At 40.6% G+C, this 24,300-nt stretch overlaps 1 long non-coding RNA gene across 2 annotated transcripts in view, besides 1 other annotated feature; it reads left to right on the plus strand.

Moving 5' to 3' along the window:
• Positions 797–1,996: an enhancer, noted in NCBI's record as "MED14-independent group 3 enhancer chr21:27761856-27763055 (GRCh37/hg19 assembly coordinates)". NCBI's record gives its function as "activates an origin of replication core promoter dependent on BRD2, BRD4, P300/CBP and CDK7 cofactors, and independent of MED14, by STARR-seq in HCT116 cells {active_cell/tissue: HCT116}" and the evidence as "EXISTENCE:reporter gene assay evidence [ECO:0000049][PMID:35650434]".
• CYYR1-AS1 (CYYR1 antisense RNA 1) overlaps positions 4,895–24,300 on the plus strand; it is a 175,618-nt gene continuing 156,212 nt past the window's right edge. The window contains exon 1 of one of the 2 annotated variants that reach the window (NR_135516.1): positions 4,895–4,957. This is a non-coding gene — a long non-coding RNA (CYYR1 antisense RNA 1). Of the gene's footprint in view, positions 4,958–17,202; positions 17,389–24,300 lie in introns of those variants that run through there. The other variant, NR_135515.1, reaches the window with a different exon arrangement.

A 24,300-nucleotide genomic window follows, 5' to 3' on the forward strand; every position in this document is an offset into this window, starting at 1 on the left:
TCATAGGCATTTACAGTTGCCTAATCTTTCTAACTCAACTTCCTGCTTGAAAAAAAATTTCCTGTGACTCTCTGACATAATTACACAGTCACCCAGGAATGCTGGATGGTCACATCATAGGGAATATTAAACAGAAAAACAATAATAAAAAGAATGTGTATAACAGGAAGAAAGAAGGCAATATTAGAAGCATCCCTGCAAAGAACAGATGCAAAGATTTTTCCATTGTTGTGGAAAGGAACTTGAAATGCAAAGACAAGGCCAAATGACTCGCTCAAGGTCACCTGGGACCTCAGGGCAGAATGAAAGAGTAGATTATTGTCATGCTGTATCCACCAGACCATGATGTCTCAGTAGCAATGTACCTGCAGGCTAAAGTCACATGTCACATAGTTAGCACACTGCTCCCTGCCAGACTTGAAGATAGCAGAATCACTGTTTTAGGAGAAAGATTTAAAGCTGTCATTAATGAATCCAAGTAGCTGTTTTTGTAAGTACATAAATATCTCTAGTATGGAGAGGCAGAATTAAGTCTTGATAGCCACCTCACAAATGTTGACTATAAATGTTTGGTTAGTGACAAGTCTAGCTAAAAAGGAAATAGAATATTTATGAACTGTCATGAAAAGGAATCTCTGCAAGGCTCACATTTAGACAACAGTGCAATGAAGGCAATCTTATGAGTTATTCAAGAGAATCGTCTTGGGAACTGGCTCTATGGTAATTCTGAGAATTACCTATATAAATAAAGTCAAATTGGGAAGGTGGGCCGTTCTGTTTTTACATAGAAAAAATCATTTGAGTTTCTAGGACACTGTCTAAGATGTACTAAAATGGAGATTATCACTTGCTTATTTTCTTGAAAAACCATTAACATAGTACAATACAACAGAAGAGTAGTGGCCAATAGATTCCAAACCAGAAGGAATGTTTATGGAAGCACACACACACACAAAAAGACTCCACAACTTACTTACATTACTTTTATAATATTCCTAATTATTATAGTGGTTTGAAAGAGGTCAAATGTTACATCTAAATATAAAAGATTAGACTTATAAATGACAAGATTGTACTGACCCCAATATTCTATAGGGTTGAAAACAAAATACAATTGACCTTCATGATACACCTGATATAATGCAGGTCTTTGTTGTACATCAGATTACATTCTGCCTGTCTTGAAATAATAATGGCATTCTTTATGAAGCCATTTGATTAACTAGAATCATGAGCTTTGCAGGAGGAAATGAATAGTGGCAAGAATGACTTGCTTTCTGAGTAAACATAGCCTAGGGAAATGTTTTCCTGGGAGAGCACTCTCCATTCTCCACCTCCCCTGGTGTGTCCTCTGACTAAGTAGTTCTTCCCGTACTGCATCGCTGCCCAGAATATTCTGAAGACAGCCTCCCACCCCACCCCACCTCATCATGCTCTTCCAGGACAGCTACAGGAAGAAAAGGAGATAACAGAATCTAATGATGTCCCATAAGATCTCCAGTCAAGGTGTGAACATGAAGCTCCAGTGAGTAATGTGGTGTCTCACATCTATAAATGCCTTATGTGTGACTGATGCATTCTTGAGACATGTCCAGGACAAGTAGAATTAAGTCTTGATGGCTGCCTCTGATGATCACACCCTCATCAGCAGTCTGATCTATGCTTTGTTTGCAAACCCGGACCTTGTTGTGGCCTGCAACTCCCCACAGGCTCTCTCCCCAGCTGTCAAGCCTCTTCTAAAACACACTTCCCCTTTAGAGAGGGCCGTCTTCACTCATGTTAGAACCTGACACTCCGAGAGACTTTCCTCTCACCAGCTGGTTTTGACTGTGGCAGAAATGTTGTTGACATAGCAGATGGTCTTGATATTTCTGAAAACCGGCAACATCTTTGCCATGGCCACCCCCACACTCTTGGCTACTGTTTCTCCTTCAAGTAGTTTGGGTCATTTTTAGCAAACCTGTATGTTCCAATATTTTTTCTTAAATATCAGAACAGGGAACAGTGTAAGACAAAAGTCTCCTAAAATATAGACCAAGGCAGAATATGAGGGCTGTTTTGCAGAAAACCCAAAAGCTGAAATAAATTCTATTTTTAATCAGATTCTTTGATGAATTAGAATGAGCAAAAAGTGAGCAGATTTTAAATATTTGTGGTCTGAAATATCAGGCAGTAAGGTATGGCTAATGGATTGTGCTATAAGAAGTAGAGTCTGATATTCATGATGTTTGAAAGCCTCTTAAAACAATATACCAGTGAGTAATGTTTATCCTTATTGAACACAAGGTGACTTGAGAGAAGGGTAAGTGCAACTGGATTAGAGATTATTACTTAGTAGTAACTCTAGAGCCAAAGCAAATCTAAGACACCGTAACAATGTGATGACCTGGGACCCAATCCAGTCATCCTGAAAAATTAAAAGCAGACTGATTTATTATTTCCTTGCTTGCTCCTTGCAGGCAGGCACTCTGAACACTCTCTTAAACTCACTAGATAATGGTATAAACAGCTCTGCTTCATTTCGGAGATATCTGTACAATTTTAGAAAATGCTTATTCTCCTGGAAAGGACTTTCACACAGATGGGAAGTAGGCATGAGCACTGCAGGCCCTGCCAGGTTCAGTCAGCTTCTTGAGTCAACATCACTATCCAGGCCTGTAGCACTCATGATTGAGAGTGTCATTTGGATTGGCTAACAAAGGACAGTTGAGAACTCTGCCTCCAAAATGTCACAGTTAAAACACAGCTTACTAGATACAAATCCTGCCTTCTCATGGTAATATCAATGATCCGTACAGCAGTGAAATGTGGAGCTAATTGATTCCTTTGAATGCCAAAAGCAGGGTCCTAAGGATAAGAACGCAGTGGAGTCATATGGATGGATGGGGTATATAAAAAGGATGGGAGGAATTTGTGGAAGTGTAAACGTGGCATGTCCCATGTAAGGCAAGCTGAATGAGGAAAACCAATTTGGGTGTCAGGTGTATGGTGGGGTGGGATGGCAAGAAGACTCACGCATGGCACAAGACAGCAGAGAGGGTAATGGGTAATGCAGGGATTGTCATGAGAAGCTAGGGGTGGAGAAGCACTGGGTATATGATGTGTTATAATTTCTAGTTCCTTCCTGTTTTGTTGATTACATTAGTAGTGTCTCCAAAGGAACACAATGCTTGAAATAAAAGATTCTTTTCATAATGGAAAATGACTTACTTATAAAAAATATTCTGTAAACCCTACCATCAATCTGGCTTATCTCCAAGCACAGAAAAGCAAGATAATTAAGAGAACTGAGACAATGTGAAAAACAGTTAACGACTAGATGAAACGGACACCAAACCAATCAGAAGAGACGTAGAGCTAGATTCTTTGCTAGATCATTGGGAGGTCAGGAGGACCCAGCAGTGGTATGGGAGGGGATTTGGGATAATTCTAAGGGTACCAAAGCATTTCAGTATTTTAATACACAGTCACACCAGCTAAATACAAGCCCTGAAGGTAACCAACATTTCTTATAAGTCATGTCTTATAATAGAAATATTTAATAAAGTTTTTAGAGCCAAGGAAAGAGCCATATCTGAGACCCTTCTCACTTGTTAAAGGCTCCTTACTCATTATCAACCTACATCTGTCAACCAAATGAAACAAAGTATAAAATAAGAATCCTCCTACATCTTTTCTCGTTAATGGAAGACAGTAGCTTCAAGGAAAAAGTAAAGATTCAGCAAAGGGTTTAAATACAGGCCACATTTAACATAGGTCCAGTTGATTTGATCCTTTCAGATCAGCCTCTGAATTCTTGTTGTTCACCAGTAAATACATATTTTGTGTTAGTCCATTTTCATACTACTATAAAGAAATACCTGAGACTGGGTAATTTATAAAGGAAAGAGGTTTGATTGACTCACAGTTCCACATGGCTGGGGAGGTCTCAGGAAACTTACAATCATGGCAGAAGGAAAACGAGAAACAGACATCTTCTGCACAGGGCAGCAAAGTGGAGGTAGTACAAGCAAGGGAAATACCAGACACTTATAAAACCATCAGATCTCGTGAAACTCACTCATTATCTCAAGAACAGCATGGGGGAAACTGCCCTCATGATCCAATTACCTCCACCTGGTCCCGCCCTTGGCACATGGGGATTATGGGATTTACAATTCAAGGTGAGATTTAGGTGGGGACACAGAGCCAAACCATATTATATTCAGAACAGATGTTGAGCCCAGCTGTGGGAGCAGTAATGGCCTGTGAGCCAGATTGTTACTTGGAACTTTAGGACCCTTGACGGGTTTGAGAATAGTGCCAATTCTTCTAGGATGTGTTTGGGTTTCAAAGCATTTTGAAAATATTTGGTAGACATGTGCAAACATACCAAATGTGTAATTGTCCCTGAAAGCAGGCATCTAATTGACTATTTAGTGACAACATAACATGGGCCTCATTTCTTAAGAAACAGTAGGTGGTCAAAATTTTAGGAGAATATACTCCACAGAAACTCATGTAGCGTAGCTCAGTGATATGCCTATGAATCTTGAATATTAATTTTTCTTTCCTCATGAAAAATGCATCTATCCATATACGTATAAATATTTTTTCTTTTTTAAGCAAAATACTTAGTCAACTTGTAAAAGAATAAAGAATTCTATATAAAAGTTTTAAAAATTGCTTTAGAACAACGTCAGTTGGAAAAAAATTCATAATTTTTCATAAATACATTTTCTTTGTATTTAAAGCAAAATATTTAACAAAGTATGCCACATATGAAAAATGTGTATGAAGAGGTCGGGTTAGTCTCAAAGTAATCTGATGGTAAATCATGCCTATCAGAGGTAGATTCCAATATCAGAAAAAACTGTTTTCTAGGCTTTTTATGCTTCTATTTCACAGACATCCCACCTGAGTTCTAAATTTATTTCTCAAAGAAGCCAAGCTCCTGAGAGAGAAATGATACTGTAAGGTAAGAGTTCAGAAGGAAACACACACAGATACACCCTGACAAATCACACTGGCTGTCATCCCACCACCATGTAGTCTACTAGGATTTCAGGTGGGATGAGTAAAAATGTAGAATTAAAGTGATTCTTTCAAGATCATAATAATTAATAATTCCTAAAATAGAATTTTAAAATTCATCTTTTATGGGCCTGTATTTTTGCCTACTGTGGTATTACAGATATCCGCTTATACCCCTCTTGCATTTCACCAAAAACACTTTGGTTTTGTACTGTGGCAGACAATCTAAGGAAATACATTTTATCTCTTCTACCTGTTTTTTCCTTGCTCTATTTCAAGGCAGAATTCACGATTTGAAATTCCTTGCCACATGGATGTTAGTCTGGCAGAAAACATAAGCAATCTTAAATCCAAAGCTTTTTTTGGCTTTATATAAAAATCTCAGCCCTTTAGAAGAAATGGAGTTCCAAAGTTGGTGAGAAGGGGAGTGGTTCTGAATGCAGGGAAAGAGTTGAGTCAGAATGGGAAAGGGAGGAAGGACCTCAAGCCCCGCAGTCTGGCAGTTCCAGGGAGAGTGATCAGGCCTTAGAAAGGAATAGTTCGTGGTTCCCAGCCTTACCCAAATCCCCAACCCTAAGTGAGACACAGAGGCTGTGTCGCTAGACATAAAGAGACCATAATAGATGTATTCAGTAGTAGAGCAAAAAATTCAAGGATCTTAGATGGATCCTTCTGCTGTTTTATTGTTTTCTTTGCCTTCTCAGTGCCTGATCTGAGAGCGCGTGTCTATATGTGTGGGTGTATGCACCTTATGTGTGTGCGTGCATGGTGGTGGGATTTAGAGGATGGGGCCAAGCATGAGTAGGAATTCCAACGGAGTGAGTCACAAAGTTGAACTAAGTTGATTTAAAGAAATAAAGACATAATAGTCTTTCCATATCAAAGTATATGGACTAAATTGATCTCGGCCATAGTTGACCATTAACGATTATACATAAAGAACCAAATTTCCTGGTTTGAATATAAGTGGAAGCCATTGATTTTTCTAGGAAGTTGAATACATTATGCTTATCATGTATACCTTCCAAAAAGTTACCTCATGTCAAATTGTGCACAAATTAGATCTGTTTCCTAACTTGCCGAATGAAGTTGTTTATGGTTTTGAAACCTTTCCCCTTGGAAAGGTGCAGTGGACGTTACTCTGCCAAATCTCAAAATGCACTGATTCACTCCACAGATGTTTACAGCCAGTGTTTACATGTGTTTACCAGTGTTTACGTGTCTTCCATCAACCAAGCACTGACCTTGGCTTTGGAATATGATGCTAAATGGCATACAGTCCAGCTCCCAAGGTACTCAGAAGCCTGGGACAGGGAATCTACTTCACCCTCAAATTTCTTACCCTATGGAGGAATCCTTGTATTTAACAGAGACCAGCCAACAAACAGTGCCCCATACTGGAATGTCAGAATGGGAAGGAGAGAGAAGATCACAAGCGTCTTGTGTTGTGAACCTCAAACCCTGAAATCTGGCAGCACCAGGGAAGAGTCCTCAGAAAGAATGGCTCTGTGGTTCCCAAACTCTCCCAAATCCCTATTCCCTAAGTGTAACCAAGTGAGCCAAGCAAATGGTCATCCCTCTCACTTCACCTGGAGGTAAATTTGTGCCTGAGGCCGATTACCGCTTCCTGTTCCCCATCATGATGTCAAAATGCAAATGGCAGGTATGATGAAGATGAGCATATGATAGAAATAAGACTGTATTTCACAAAAATATAATCAAATCTTTATATTTCAAAATAAGCTTACAGATCTCCACCTAATATGACTTCAAGTAAATTTACATTATGTGGACCTACCATTTCCTAAGTATTTGCTATACTGCTCCATGGCTCTGTCAAATGTCTCTTCAGACTCTTAGATGGGATTATTGCCATCTACAAATAACTTCTGCTTTTTTAAAAAAGTCATTCAACAAACTTTATGAAACCACCAGGAACTGGATCAGGTGGTGGGGATTAAGGATGAAGGCCACGCTCTCTGCTTATCTTAAACTCAATAGCTTTCCTTGATTATATCAACATTTTTTCAACTCCTTTCATTTAAAGAATACATTTTTTTTGAAAAAGCATTTAGTTATGATTCAGAAATATAGCAATATAGTGAGATAAAGCTTATATATGTGTATATATATGTGTATATATATGTATATATATATACATATGTGTATATATATATATACGTGTGTGTGTGTATATATATATATATATATATATATATATATATTTTTTTTTTTTTTTTTTTTTTTTTTTTTTTTTTGAGACAGAGTCTCACTCTGTCTCCCGGGCTGGACTGCAACGGCACGATCTGGGCTCACTGCAAACTCCACCTCCTGGGTTCAAGCGATTCCCCTGCCTCAGCCTCCTGAATAGTTGGGATTAGAAGTGCGTGCCATCACAGCCAGCTAATTTTTGTATTTTTCCTGGAGATGGGGTTTCACCATATTGGCCAGGATGGTCTCAGTCTCTTGACCTCGTGATCCACCTGCCTTGGTCTCCCAAACTGCTGGGATTACAGGCGTGAGCCACTGCACCTGGCCACTTATAGATATTTTTTAGGAGGTACCCTAAGCCAGACTTTTGCCCTGAAGACTTTTCTACTCTGCAGTGTTTATTTTTCTGTTTCAAGATGTCTGCAGCAGAAAGAATAATGCAAAATTTCAACATCAGTGTTATTCTAAAAACAATCATATGAAAAATTCAGGTTCCTTCAATAACGACTACCTTGAAAAATAAAAAATTCAGTCACGCAGTTGGTTTTTTTAGTCTTGAGAATATCAAACTGTGTGTGACTGACTTTCACTAAATTGACTAGTCACTGTTGAATGACATGCCCCTTAGCTAGGACAGCCTGGAAAATTGTTTTCAAAGCTTTTGGGACTCTTTCACTCCAATTTTTAGCACAGATTCAAGAATATCTACTTAGCTACCAGGCATCTTCTAGGGTATAGACATTTCTGTACAAAGGACTGATCACCCTCTTCACTGAGCCCTCTCCAGAGTGGGACTTCAGTTGCTTAGTGTAAGAAAACTAGTCTTTTAAGTCACTTTTCATTTCCTTATAATTCATGGGTTTTCTCACTTCAGTCCCTGTCAGAGGTCAGAATGTTTTCCCTCCATTCTTCAGCATCTTCATTTGCCTACAATTATTGTTCAAAGGTAAGTTGGAAGCTGTCCATAGGAAGAAATGTATGATGTAGTACATGACACAATAGTCATGTACCTTATGTGGTTACTGTAGCTTGCAGAGCATCAGTCTTAGTAGGTGATCAGTAACTGGTTGTGGAATAAATAAAGCAATGATTGAATGACAATATAACTGAAGAATCAATGGGCAATGCATATAGGAGTTACTAAGTGTATTCGTCCATTCTCACATTGCTATACAGATACTACCTGACACTGGGTAATTTTTAAACAAAAGAAGTTTAATTGACTCCCAGTTCCACATGGCTGAGGAGGCTTCAGGAAACTTGCAATTACGGAGGAAGGTGAAGGGAAGCAAGGCACATCTTCACAAGGTGGCAGGAGAGAGAAAGAAGGGAAAGTGCCACACTTTAAAACCATCAGATCTCCTGCGAACTCCTTCACTATTATGAGAACAGCATGGAGAAACTGTCCCCATGATCCAATCACCTCCCACTAAGTCCTTCCCACAATACGTGGGGATTACAGTTCGAGATGAGATTTGGGTGGGGATACAGAGCCAAACCATATCACTAAGTAATCCGATACCATAAGAATTACTTAAATATTTTTTACCACATTACGTTTTTTTCAAGTAAGAAATGTTTTCAATTCTGATGTTAGCCAACTTAGGGTGTCTTATTGTTTTCCCCAGTGACCAAGCAGAAAACAAAATGCTCAAAAAGGATCAGAGAAGAGAGTTCAACAAAGGGATTGTTTACAATCATGTGGGTGGGGTTAAGTGCAGTATTACATCAAAGAATAGTGCAGTACTTTGGAGTCAGCAAAAGCTGGAGTGCTGAGGGGCAGGGGGAGGAAGCAGTTAGTGACTGGAACATAGAGTGGCTGCATTAAGAGGGCCATCCAATAAGAAGAGTGTCCTTGGGTGGAAGGCCAGAGCCAGCTTGTGATGACTTGCCAGGAAGGTTGCTGTTGGAATAAAAGTGCTTACATCATTCTGCACTAAACTTTCAATTTCCTGGCAAGTATCTTCCATTGGCCAAACTGAAAGCTGGAGGGCAAGGAAGCTTGTTGGTGCAGTCCCTAGAAGTTGAAGTCTTGGATTTCAAAGGAGGATAGCGAAGGTTGGAAAGCGAATCTGGCGTGGGGGGTGGGGCAAACCCCAAATATCCAGGTGCCTTCTCTATTTATTAGCTGAGGTGGTTAATTGGTGGTCTTCCAAGTATTGACAGTTTCCTTCCAATCTTTATTTGTGCAGGATAATATCTCTTTCAGAGGTAGGGAAAACATGATGGAAAGCATAAATTTCAACCATGAAATTCCATGCCCCCTCCCTCACAGAAGGTATTGTGACAGAAAAGAAATGTAGAACTTCAATTCACTTTATAAGTACCGCGTGCTAACCAATTGTGCCACTGGAGCCACAGCACTCAATTTATTTTAGATTCCTAGTTAGCATAATTTGTAGAAAATCAAAGCTAGACAGTAGTGATGTCTCTCAAATTTGTTTGACAAGAGGTCTAAAAATTGTCCATATGTGTATTAGGCTGCTCTTGCATTGCTAGAACAGCACGTATGAATATCCCACACATGGATATCCCAAGTTTTAACTTCAGAGGCTGAATATGTCTGATCGCATTGCAGAACACAATAAATCATCTTGTCTCAGAGAAAATCCTATAATTAGGTAATTGGCATTGATACGGTTGACCTAAAAGGGAATTGTGGAGTAGAGGTTTGCTTGCAATTTCTTTAAAATACCTGAGTCTGGGTAATTTATAAAGAAAGGAGATTTAATTGTCGTAGTGTTCTGCAGGTTGTACAGGAGGCATGATGCCGGCATCTGCTTGGCTTCTGGGGAGGCCTCAGGGAGCTTTTAGTCATGGTGGAAGGCAAAATGGGAGCTTGCACAGCACATAGCAAAAGCAGGAGCAAGAAAGAGTGTGGTGGAGGGAGGTGCCACAGACTTTTAAATGACCAGATCTCATGAGAACTTATTCACTATGGCAAGGACAGCAACAAGGGGATGGTACTAAGCCATTCATGAGAAATCTGCCTCCATGATCCCATCACCTCCCACTAGGCCCCACCTCCAACAATGGGGATTACAAATCGGCATGAGATTTAGAGGGGACATATATCCAAACTATATTAATACAATCTTTTGCCATGTATATTTAGAAAGAAAAATGTCTTCAATTTCTGTTTTGAAAAAATGCATTAGTTTCCCTAAAAGTGCAGCCTGATACATAGATTTTTAAGTACATCTCTAAGGACATGAGGCAAGCAGGATGACACAGGGGAAGAAACTAAGGAAAGGTGTGGTTACAGCTGACCTGTGGCCTCAGCCTGATGCCATAGGGAACTCTGGAGTGTGAGCGGTGCAAAAAATTATCCTGCAAGGAGGCTGGCCACATAATCAGTCCTTAGCTGCAGCTATTCCAATGATGGTGGAAGCTTGGGCCTCAGCTATGTCCAGGAAAAGGGGCTTTCCTTGGCCAAGGCCAATTATGCAGAAGACAGTGTATCCATGAGCCACTGAAAACCCACACTTACGACAGCTTGGAGATGGGTGCACAGATGCACTAAAGGAGATCTGGGCAGGGCACAACATCTACTAGATATATATAAGTTTGTAGGCAGAATCCTCCTCACCCATGAATATCACCAGGTTTTAACTTCAGAGGCTGAATATGTCTGATCATATTGCAGAACACAGTAAATCACCTTGTCTCAGAGAAAATCCTATACAGCAATTAGGTAATTGGCATTGATAAGGTTGACCTGAAAGGAAATTGTGAAGTAGAAGTCTTGTAATACGACAGTCTTTTGAAGCCTCCCATTAAAAGCCCCCTACCACCTATCATATTTTTCCCCCTCCTCATGGCTTACTCTACCTCCTTTTTATGCCTTTCCACTCATCCAGAGGTTGTTTTGAGACCCAGTCCTACCTGGCTTTACTATCACAAGAGTACTGATTGATATGGTTTGGATTTGTGTCCCTGCCCAAATCTCATGCTGAATTGTAATCCCCAGTGTTGGAGGAGGGGCCTGGTGAGAGGTGATTGGATCATGGGGGTGGGCTTCTCCCTTGCTGCTCTCATGATAGTGAGTGAGTTATCATGAGATCTGGTTGTTTAAAAGTGTGTAGCACCTCCCCCCGCCCCTGCTTCCTCCTGCTCCAGCCGTGTAAGATGTGACTCCTTCCTCTTCACCTTCCACCATGATTGAAAGTTTCTTAAGGACTTCCCAGCTATATTTTCTATATAACCTGCAGAACTGTGAGCCAGTTAAACCTCTTTTGTTCATAAATTACCCGGTCTGGGGTAGTTCTTTACAGCAATGCAAGAAGGAACCAATACACTGATACTAAGATGTTAGCTGAGATGGTAACTGATAAGATTTAATCAGGAGGATGTTAAAATGTTTACGACATATATACTAACCAATCAGTAGTAGCCAATCAGACCATTCTATGGTTAGAGCTTCCTTACTGAGCCACGTATTAACCATTCGTTCATTGCCAAGTCATTAAGAGATAGAGTCACTGGAGGAGGTACTGAGACAGCCCAGGTAGAGTGGAAGGGCACTGGGTTTGGGGAGGCTCAGGGCATAAGCTGATTAACCTGCTGGAAAGTATTTCATTATGGCTATACCAGTACCTACTGACTAAATATCAGCCCAGAAGAGTTGCTTCCGATATAATACGTTTTTATTGTTATTGTTGTTGTTGCTTTAAGTAAATCCTAAATAACTGTGACTTTGAATCTTGGCAGTTCCTGGAATCACAGAAGTCAGAAACTCATAAGACCGGTCCCAGATACAATTATAATCATAGCTGTAACTTAACACTAAATCAAGATTATCACGAAGCTTTTGCATCTAGTTTAAAACAGTAAGTTAAATAGGAACATAGAAACATACTTATTGTTGGAGGTCATTATTTTTTAAAATTGTGTTTTTTCTTCAACCTTTAAGTTCCAGGGTACATGTGCAGGATGTGCAGGTTTGTTACATAGACGAATGTGTGCCATGGTGATTTGCTGTACAGATCAACCCATCACCTAGGTATTAAGCCCAGCATCAATTAGCTATTCTTGCTGATGCTCTCCCTTCCCCTGTTCCCCCTCACAGGTTGCAGTGTGTTTTGTTTCCCTCTATGTGTTCATGTGTTCTCATTGTTCAGCTCTCACTTATAAGTGAGAATATGCAGTGTTTGGTTTTCTTTTCCTGTGTTAGTTAGCTGAGGGTAATGGCTTCCAACTCCATCCATGTCTCTGCAAAGGACATGATCTCATTCTTTTTTATGGCTGCATAGTATTCCATGGTGTATGGGTACCATATTTTCTTTATCCAGTCTATTATTGAAGGGCATTTGGGTTGATTCCATGTCTTTGCTATTGTGAATAGTGCTGCAGTGAACATATGAGTGCATGTATCTTTATAATAGAATGACTTATATTCCTTTGGGTATATACCTGGGAAAGGGATTGCTGGGTCAAATGGTATTTTTGCCTCTAGGCCTTTGAGGAATTGCTATACTGTCTTCCACAATGGTTGAACTCATTTATATTGCCATCAACAATGTAAAGGCATTTCTTTTTCTCCACAACAACAGCAGCATCAGTTGTTTTTTTTGACATTTTAATAATTGCCATTCTGACTGGCATGAGATGGTATCTCATTGTGGTTTTGATTTACACTTCTCTAATGATCAGTAATGTTGAGCTTTTTAAAATATGTTTGTTGGCTGTATGAATGTCTTCTTTTGAGAAGTGTTGTGTTCATGTCCTTTGCCCACTTTTTAATGCGGTTGTTTTTTTTTTTTTTTGTAAATTTGTTTAAGTTCCTTGTAGACTCTGGATATTAGGCCTTTGTCAGATGGATAGATTGCAAAAGTTTTCTCCCATTCTGTAGGTTGTCTGTTGACTCTGATGATAGTTCCATTGGCTGTGCAGAAGCTCTTTAGTTTATATACTTGCATTTTGATAGAAAGGTAGATATAAGCTTTCTAACAAGCTGTAACCTTGAAGAAAATGGACAGTAGGCAATCTTAGCTGGTATGTAAGTAATCAATGCTTTTTCTGATCATAACTTTAATGCACAGTAATTTAATGGACAGTACTGCTAATTTATTTTTTTCCAGCATCATTTGTACAAAGTCTCCTAAAATCCATCACAGTTGAGAACAGTCTAGACAGTTATTATGACACAATCAAAAGGAAAGCTGGCAAATAAAAAAAGAAAAGTGAATAGAAGAGCTGATTAAAATAACAGTATAGTTTATAGGAGGCTTCTCTTAAATTTGTGTTTTGCAAATTTCAATTTTTGGAAGGCTCAAATCACATTAAAATATTTTACTACTACAAGTCAGCTTTCTTTTATAGGTCTAAAGAGGAAAGAGGGAGGGGTTGCATTTACTTCTCCATAGAAAGATTTCAGCAATCTAATTAAATAAATATTATAGCAGTGCATTTGAATAGTTTTCCCATCAGTGAGGAAAGAAAATGCTCTATTTCCCTGAAGTCAGACATTTATGTCACAGTTGAAGAAGGGCAAGTCAACCATCACAGAATGAATAGTTTTGTCAAGTCGATATCTGATTTGATGGAGTCGAGTTTTCTTAATGGGAACTAAAACTGTGAAATGCACATTAATCCACTCTCTGCACACCATCTTTCCCTTTAAGGTTCCAGAAGAATTCCTATTTCCGTTTTAAAGCCATCTGCTATTGCTTTTTGCCAGTGAGTATGTGGATAGATAATTTCTCAGGGTGCAATTAGAGGAACGTGAAGAAACTACTTCATGCCATAAAGGGAGCTGAAAAAGCTAAAGCATAAATGGCAACATCTGCATGAGGTATGGAGCCAGGGAGGAGACAGAAGCATGCAAATCAGTCGCGCACTCTCAACAGAATTCCAAGGTCCAAAAAACAATCTGGGAAGATGTTTACAGAACACAAACTCATCCACATCAAAGGAGTAGAAAAGATGAATAATTGGTCAGGTGCATTCCTGTGGCAAGGAAAGGCAAAAGCAACTCAATCAATTCTGAAAAACAAAACAAAACCAACCCAGGATAAATGAAAAGACTAGTTGAAACGTTCTCATCTTGGATTTGAAATGACTCAATTGGTTAACATGTAATTTCATTAAGTCCCAAATCAAGGAGATTGTCTTTTCGTCACTAGGATCATGGTTTTGTTCCTTTTAGTCTCCATGTCACGTACCCCTCTTGTAAGACCTTGGCAAGTGAGTGTTGCAGCAATTTTTTTCCGGAAGGTGGGCTCCACTCCTTCATATGGGAAAGTCACAAGTTTGGCTAGCGGTGATGAGATTTAATTTCACTAAAAGCTTATAGCTGAGGTTGTGTTCTCATATTCAATACAAAGGCTGTCTTCTAGACAATTAATGTAACTCTTACATCCTCTTTAATTTGGCTCTAAAATATCTCTTTCAATTACTATAATTCTCTGATAACTTCTAACTTCCGGATGGACTGCTTGAAGCATTTTTCCCTACTTCAGAATAATGTTGGGAAAGTTCCTCATTAAGTCTTCGTTTTAGTTGAAAATCCAGAATAATGCACCCTTGGTCTTATCTCACATATTTTTGTCATTCTGACCTCAGTGCACTGCAATCTTTGGACTTCAAGTCCCAAGCTAAGAATTAAGCCAGAGGCAGGAGCATCTGCTCATGTTATTTTTGAATCAATGGCAGCCTCTCCTCCTCCTCCTCCTCACACCTACCTACTTTTCCACCTCTTGAAAGGCCCAATTCAACACCCATTTCCCCCTTAAAGCCTTTCCTAATCACACTAGTATTTATTAGCTGCACTGAGCTGCTCACAGCTGCACTTGTGAGCCTTCTCACCTACTTCATGGCTGGAGTTCTCACTCTAGCCTGATCAGCAACACTGGGAAGGCTTGTAAACCACAGATGGCTGGGCATCATCCCCAGGGTTTCTGACTTAGTAGGTGAGGGACGAAGACCAAGAATCTGCATTTCTAAGAAGTCCACAGGTGATGCAGATGATGCTTGTCTGGGGCCATACTTTGACGATCTCTGCTGTAGTGAATGCTTGCTACATTCTTACTCGTCCATTAAGACTCCCCTCTGTATCATCTTTCCCTGTCAGAATTAGGCCTCTCTCAACCTATACCTCTTAACTCACAAATTATCCTACCTCGATGAAGGCAGGCTAGCAAGCTCAGACAGCTAATGCAGCCAGGAAGTTTGCAGATGTATGCATCTGGTGAGACATCAGACATCGAAAATGATCCATGATCTTCCCAATGGATCATAAACATGCTCACAGAGTAGACACCCTGTTGAGACAGGGCTACATGGTGACCAGGCTTGGGACAAGACAGAGATAAGGCCACACTGCTAACAGAAAAAAGGCTAAAGATCCCTCCTTCCGTTTGCTCCTTTGCCCGCGACAACTCAAACCTCAATTTCACCTTCCTGCCTCCCTCCTAGATAAAAATTAGTAAGCTAATCAGTCACAAAAAGAAACCCCACCTTTTGACGGCCTCCAATCCAGGCCTGTTTCCAGCTTTCTTAAACCCTCCTACACAGATGCATATCCTTGTAGGAAGCGCCTCCCGACTTCCTTGAGAGGACCTGTATTTCCTCTGCTGTGTGTTTCTCCTGGGCTGCAGCAGGTTCAAGAACATAAACTCTTTCGCCCCAAGCTCTGTTCCTGCTGCTCTCTGCTCACTGGGCTGTGCAGACAGACAGTAGGGATGATGTGCCCCTCCTGAAGGAATTCAAAGTAAACACAAATTTAACATTGTGCAGGACAGGCCACAGGGACTATGAGCATGTTGGGTAGGCAGAACATTACCAGCTTGCAGGCCTTGCTGAAAGGCTCAAGACCTCAAGGCCTTGCCGAAAGAACCCTATTCTAAAATCTCTGACTTCTCCAACTCTCATCAGTTTTTCTCTCTCTTCTCCGACACCCTGAGAGTTGGGTATGAAGAAAGCAGCAAACATGTGCATTGTTCCTTAAGATGTACAATGCATGTTTACAACCCTTGCCTCGTTTAATTTTCATATCTGTAAGCTAGGTATAGTAGATCCAGTTTAAAGATGAGGAAACTGATCCTCAGAGACATAGGTGTTAGAACAACCTCACATCAATAAAGTGACCAACTTCATACAGTAATTAAGTAAAGAAATCAGGGTCTGAACTGAGTTTCCTGTGCTCTTTTTGCTAGACCACGATACCTAAACCTCCTGGGAGCAGGCAACTGAGCAAAAAGATGCTCTCCTATGCTCTCGGGTGTTTTATTTTCCTTCCCATCTAGACAATACCATCCTCAGTTAGAGACCACGTTATGTATTTCTCTGGCATCCTGCCTAGCTGGATCTAGTGGAATGCTGAGCACATAGCAGGCCCTCAGCAAGGAGTCACTGACTGATTGAAACTCATAAACCTTTCTCACAAGGAGACAGAGGGGAGAGGCTGTTTTAAAACAGAGGAACTTTTCTATCTTTGTTCCAGCATTGCAATACTAGAGGCTGTTGTTACTTTAATTCTTCAGGGTGCTCGGTATTAAAGCATTTTTCACACTTAGAAATGTTTATTTTCCTGTTATGGTTTCTGCATTGAAAAAGGTTGGGAAGTTCAAACTTCAGTTCCACGTACGTTTTTCTGAAGTTTCATGAATATTTAGAAAATGCATGTAGAACATGTGGCAGACACTGTGCTGTGTGGTCCATATCCCCCCTTTAAGGAAAGACTTGTTGTCCCAGCTGTTGTGAGTGTTGTTGGCACCAGCCTTCAGCCATCAGCTTCTCAGGCACTGCCTGAGCTACAGTGAGCTGCCTTGCCCAAGGGTGCACCCATTTCTGGAGTGGTCCAGATCCAGGGACTGCTCAGTGAAGATATAAAATCCTGGCCATCCTGGCCCAACTCAGGACAACACTGAAGGGGCAGGACTTCAGAGCTAGTCCTGGAGTTGGTTGAAGCTGTCGTTGAGTCAGCATCATGACTCAGCATTTTTCTGCTACATCCTGCTCCCTTTTTCTCCCTCCCTTAGGTGTCGAACCCAAGGGCTCTTCTCAGCAGAGTGTCTGCATGCCACACTCTGCTTTAGAGTCTGTTCCCTGGGGAACACAACCAGAGACTGAAATAATTGGTGGGCAGTGGGGAGCACAAAGGGCTGTTTTTGTTTCATGTGAAGACGATGAGCATGCTATGAACCCCGAAGAGCTGTTGTATAAGCAAGTAGAATGTGTTTGGCTGTGGTGTGGTAAAGCTGACTGTGTTACACAGAGAGTGGGTGGGTGTGTCTGTGGCTTTGCTCGGCGTTATTCATGCCTCTGCGCCCTTAGGGTGATAAATGGGTGGCTGCACAGGCTGGAGAAGGGCTCCTGAAGGACCCTCAGACATTCTCAGCATTTGCCCAGCGGCTGAATGTCTTTCCACGCCTTCTCCCCTTACAACTAAGTAGACAGCTTCCTTGCTTTTGTAATATTTGTGTAATCTTGATCATTTGCAATACGACGAATAGGGCAGATGTGCAACCTTACAGCTCTCATATTTTCTCCTAACATTGCTGGAAATTTCTGAACTTCTGATTGTGTTCATGACAAGACATTTTTCTTTCATTTTCACCTAAGTTCAAGCCTGGTTTATAAGGATTTTAGGTGGTCATTGGTTAACCCTGGGGATCCTTTATTCTTCCCTGGAACTAAGGTAGAGACCTTCCTCTAATGAGCATAGTTTTGGCTGTGATGTCCACAGGGGCAAGCAAGCACTCCATTTGCTGCTTTGAGTGTCCTGTCACTTAGATAAATTTCAGGGCAATCCTTGGCCCCAGGCCTTCCCCTGGAGTTTTCTTAGCAAGACTAATTTGATATATTACCTCCACAAATCCTATCAGCCCTACCCGGTTTAGGGCTGAGGGTGAAGATAGTTTATAGGGGCAATAACAACAGAAATGTCCTCTCTGAGACAGGCAAATAATTTCCTCTCTGCTCCAGTCCAGTACTATTTCCCTTAATCTTTTTAATGCCTGGGAAGCTCTTGCTTCCTTCCTCTGTCCTCAGAGCCAGTTTTCTCTCCTCAAGGTTAATACCCTGAAAAGCGAGCAAGCCTATTGTTTCTGCTTCTCTGGGCAGGCAGCACATTTTCTATAGTTTCATCTGTCTCTATATTAAAATGGCTTAGGGTTGAAACAAATGACTCATATTCACTGGTGGTCCAGGTTAAGTGAAGGCCCTAGGTTATCTCATCAAAGGGTTCTTTTTTTTTAAATTTTATTATTATTATACTTTAAGTTTTAGGGTACATGTGCACAATGTGCAGGTTTGTTACATACGTATACATGCACACGTATGTTTATTGCGGCACTATTCACAATAGCAAAGACTTGGAACCAACCCAAATGTCCAACAATGATAGACTGGATTAAGAAAATGTGGCACATATACACCATGAAATACTATGCAGCCATAAAAAAGGATGAGTTCATGTCCTTTGTAGGGACATGGATGAAGCTGGAAATCATCATTCTCAGCAAACTATCCCAAGGACGAAATACCAAACAAATTGTTCTTTAAGACAGAATCAAGCTGCTTATCCAAGCCTTACTGGCTTCTCTTCTCCCTGGGCAGGGATGCTAATTACCACCAGCCTACTTATCTGATTTGTGTCCTGGAATGGCCCAGTCCTCAGTATTTGTTGGCACCTGACTCAGCTGGGTTTCTGCTGGATTCTCCCTTCTCCCACAGGCCTGCAGGCTTCATATCTTACCCTTCTTCCTACACTGAGTAGCTTGTCTTTCCACCTTCCCTTCCCTGCCATGAAAGAGACTTCACCTGAATTTCTGGACCTCACAGCAATCAGTAGATGTCTTCTCTCCCCTAGTACTGCATCATTTACAGGAAGGAGGTGCTAGATCTGGATAAGGCAAGCCCCTTCTTGAAACTTGGGAGACTTAAATGAAACCTATTTTGGCCAGGCATGGTTGCTCATGCTGGTAACCCCAGCACTTTGGGAGGCCGAGGCAGGCAGATCACTTGAGGTCAGGAGTTTGAGACCAGCCTGGCCAACAGGGCAAAAATCCGTCTCTACTAAAAGTACAAAAATTAGCCAGGCATGGTGGTGGAGACCTGTAATCCTAGCTACTCAGGAGGCTGAGGCAGGAGAATCACTCGAACACGGGAGGCAGGGGTTGCTGTGAGCTGAGATCGCGCCACTGCATTCCAGCCTGGGGGACAAGAACAAGACTCCTTCTCAAAAACAAAAACAAAAATTAGCTGGGTGTGGTTGTGGGTGCCTGTAGTCCCAGCTATTCAGGAGGCTGAGGCAGGAGAATCACTGGAACGCAGGAGGCGGAAGTTGCAGTGAGCCAAGATGGTGCCACTGCACTCTAGCCTAGGTGACAGAGTGAGATCTTGTTTCAGAAAAAAAGAAAAAAAAATTCTATTTCATTTCACTATGTAATCAGTGCTTCCATTCTCATACTGTAAGAAACCTCCTTTTCGGCTTAGAACAGTTTTTGAATTTAATATAGAACATTCACCATTCTGCCCTACCTGTCCAACCAACCTTATGGGTTTTTTGTTTGTTTTTGGATGAAGACATGTTTGTGTTCTGCTGCCAGTACTTACACTGAAAAAGGACCAGGACACCCTCAATTGCTTACCCTCTGCCTGTAACCAATCCCTCCAGGATTCTACTATTTTTTTTTTCCAGAGTTATTTTTGGTGAATGTATAATGAATGGAATGTTTTGATAACTTTATGGTAATCATCCATGTGGTACATAGATAACTAGAACATAAAACTTTAATTATAGAGTATTCTTTTACTATTTACAATTTTCCCTCCCCTTCCAACATTCATTGAATTGCTAATAGTTTCTGTGAGAAAAAATGGTATGTGTGGTTGAGATTCTTGACTTAATTCACTGCCTTTTTAGTAGTCCCCTTTATTTTAGCTATTCATGTCTAGATTCAAATGCTGTCAGGAATTTATGTAAGTTTTTAAAAAGTCCAAGAAGGTATATTTTAAAAGGAAGTTGGGGCTGGGAGTGGAACACCTTTGATCTCTTTCTAGCTGTGTGATCTGTTCAGTGTGGCCTTGGTCCAGTCTCTAGTCTATCTGGGTGTTAGTTTATTTGTGAACAAAATGAACATTTTGTACCAGATGATGCCCAGATTCCTTCCAGGTTTAGTATTCTTTTTGTATCTGTGATAAGGGTCAACATTTTAAAGTGTTCAAGTCACATTTGAACCTGCCATTTTTAAAAGCATTGCAATCTCTTTCATTCAGAAATAGTCTTTCCATACACACACGCTGATTAGAGAACTGCTTGAGGGACAACTCTCAAATGAGACTCAGATGGGAAAGTACAAATGGGAGGGGAGATTTGAGTTTCAAAAAATTGAATGAACATTTCATAGGTTGTTAGCAGATATCACAGATAGTAAGCAGATAGAACTCTGAATGCTGGGAAAGGAAAAATGACTAAAACAAAGCATTGGGTAGATTTCCTGTTTCTAAAAGTGGTATGATTGTAAAGGTTGTACATTGATTCTTCCCACTGCAATGAACTCTGCTAAGAATTTCTTTGCACCAAATGGCAGCCTTGTCACCTTGACCTTAAATCCTTCCCATAATCCTTTCTTAATAATATGCTTGGTAGAACATATTATATATGTAATGTATGTACTTTAGTTACCAAATCAGATATATATACATACACACACACACACACACACACACACACACATATTATATGCATTAGATACCTCTGTGTTTTGGTAGCTAAATTACAAGTATAACATCCTGTTATTTATACCGGCTAGAAACAGAAAGCTTTCCGTGGAATAGAGAATTGGCTTTCACAGACATTTATTTTTCATGTCACATTCTTCTTCTACTCTTGCTTCTAATCTGAATCCAGGCAGATCCTCTTTTTTGAACTTGTGATAACTAAGGACATTTGTTCCTTTCTGTGTAATCGCTTCAAACCTTATAATCCAGTTGAGAATGCCTGTCTGACATATTGAGCAATAATTAATTCCCTTAATAGCCATTTCCATGAGCAAGGCTTTCTCTTTTCCAGACGGTTTCTATTAGTCTGGTCATGTTTTTTTCAACAGCTGCCTACAGCTTTCATGCCTTTTCTTTTCATACCTGATTTACTTCTGCCTGCTATTGTCTTCTTTGCGGCTTTCACTTTACTCCTAGCCCTCTGTCCTCTGTCCCTAATCTTATTTCCAATGTCTTAGTCTCCAGTTCGATAATTCACATTTCCTTGTCTCACTGATTTCTTCTCATTCAATTATAATTTTGACATTTCTAAATATTGTATTTGTATTTTTTTTTGGTAGAGATGTGGTCTTGCTACACTGCCCACGCTCATCTTGAACTCCTGGTCCCAAGTGATCCTCCTGCTTTGGCCCTCCCAAAGCACTGGGATTACAGGCATAAACCACCATGCCCAGCCTATTTATAATTAATATTGCTCCAGTATAACAGTGGAGCAAAGACATATACAATAATATTTTGAACCTACTTGTATAGAAGAGACATTGCTTCCATGGACTCTAGAAGAACAAGCTTTTTCTCTAGTCCAAAGGGTTGATTATCTAAACTAGATAATATTTTGAAGGTACCTAGCTTAGGGTTAGACATCTGGAGAGTACTCTGTAAATGGTGATTCCATTTCATCCTCATTGTGGAATTTCATAAACTACAGCTGGCAGACCAGGGAAGATATGTGCTCAAGAAAGTGCTCTTCCCTGAATCCCTCACGTCATATTGTTAGTGCCTCTTCTGCTTATTCACAAGACCAGTCATCATAGAGGTTGGATTTGAATCTTGTATCTGTATATAATAGAAGCCACATTCAAACTATGTGAAGCAAATGTGGACATGGGAAGATATTAAGGAGTCTCTTGCAATCCAAGGTCTAGGATTCAGGGATGCCTGCAATTAGGGCTAGCGACACCCTGAAGACTTTCTCACTCTGTTATTTCTGCACATCTATTTTATTCCTCTTTCCCTAAAGTCTTGCTTCTCATTCTCCCACAGCTTGAAACAAAGACTGACATTTCTACAAACCAGGCCTTCCAAGAGAGATTGGCTTTCATTTCCAGGTTCAACATCGCCCTGGAAGAAATTGGTTCTTATTCATCTTGTGTGAAGTTCTCACCCTTAGACTTATCTGGAAGGTTGAGGTTTTGGGGGAGATAATTACACACATGAACTCTGAGACACCACATTCTCTTGGTTCTCTTTGTGTCCTCCCCCCACCACCATCCTTCTTAGCTCCTTTGCTGAATCTTCCCCATGTTACTGTCTCTAAACACTGGGAACTTAACACATGAATCTCTCCTCCGCCTATATTCACTCTCTACACCATTTTATCTAGTCGTATGGCTTTAAATATCATTTAAATGCCGATGTTCCCCGTGGTGATATCTTTGGCTTTTTCTGCATACTTGAAGTCTGTACTCACTCATCTGCATACTTACGTATAGAACAGGGGGGTAGGAAAGAGCACAGACCCTGCAATCATGATGCCTGGGTTCAAGTCCTGTCTTCATCAGCCAACTTATGTGACCACTACAGATTACTTGCCTTCGATGTGCTTCGTATTTCTCATCTGTAAAATGGAGTTAACAGGGCCAGGCGCGGTGGCTCACGCCTATAATCCTAGCACTTTAGGAGGCCGAGGCAGGCAGATCATGAGGTCAGGAGATTGAGACCATCGCGGCTAACACGGTGAAACCCTGTCTCCACTAAAAATACAAAAAATTAGCCGGGCGTGGTGGCGAGCACCTATAGTCCCAGCTACTCAGGAGGCTGAGGCAGGAGAATGGCATGAACCTGGGAGGTGGAGCTTGCAGTGAGCCGAGATCGTGCCACTGCACTGCAGCCTGGGCGACAGAGTGAGACTCCATCTCAAACAAACAAACAACAACAAAAAAAATGGAGTTAACAATAGACCCTACCTCAAAACATTTTTGTGTGGATTAAATAAAATAATGTATACGAGTCACTTAGAATGGGTCCTGGCACATGGGAATTACTATATAAATGTTTGCTGTCATTATTTCCAGGAATCTTGAACATATAAAATCTAAAATCAAACAATTATCTCTCATCTTTCTCTCACCTTCAGACCACAAAGAAAATAACTAATGAAATGCTCTTCCAGACATTTAATTTTCTTCCCTCAACCTCTAGCGTTTCCTCTCCATTCTTTACTCTCAGATTTTGATCTTGCTTCTTATTTCACTGAAAAAAAAGCCCACTTTTCCTACTGACTTTCTCAACTCAAACAAAAACAATGAACTCTCTTTCTCTAGGTATACACAGCAAAATCACTGGTGTCAGAATTGGCCCATTTTTGTGGGGCATGGCGGCTAGTTGCCTGTAATTCCAGCTACTCAGGAAGCTGAGGTGGGAGGATAACCGGAGGCCAGGAGTTCCAGACACCTGTGTAACAAAGTGATACTTCATCCCTTAAACAAATATAGAAAAAGTAAAAAAAAAGTCAGCATTGTTCTTTTTAATATCTCATGTCTAATCTGTTAGCAGATCCGGTTCTCTACAGAACTCAATAATTTTCACCACCATTACTGCCCCACTCCAAGAAATGTCCAGTCTCCTCTTGATTGAACAGTTTCAAGCAGATAATTAATCTCCCAGTGGCCATACTTGCTCCTTTCCATTCTTTTATACTTAGAGCAACCCAGCTTTCTTTACTAAAGTCTCACCTCCTCGAGAGCAGGAACTTTTTCTCTTTTGGCTCCTGTTATCTTCCCAGCACCTAGAAAAGTGCCTGGCATGCAGTAGGTACACACACACACACACACACACACACACACACACACACACAAAAGTTCAATGAAAGAACCCACTAATCTGTAAGTTTATTGCCAACCCAGCTTCTTGGTTTATCAATTATTGTATTTCTTGACCATAATGCTCTGTCAAGCAAGGAGCAGGTGCTCAAAATGTATTTGTTCAATCAATCCCTGAGTTACTACGGAGGAATAATACAAGCACAAATTCCTCCTTCTACTTCCTTTCACATGTTGTCTTTTTGTTCTCCTCATTGTAAGGGCAACATAAAAACTCAAAGGAATAAATCTTTCTCGAACTAATAAAGGC

Source organism: Homo sapiens, chromosome 21 (genome assembly GCF_000001405.40).
Source record: "Homo sapiens chromosome 21, GRCh38.p14 Primary Assembly".
Taxonomy (NCBI): Eukaryota; Metazoa; Chordata; class Mammalia; order Primates; family Hominidae; genus Homo; species Homo sapiens.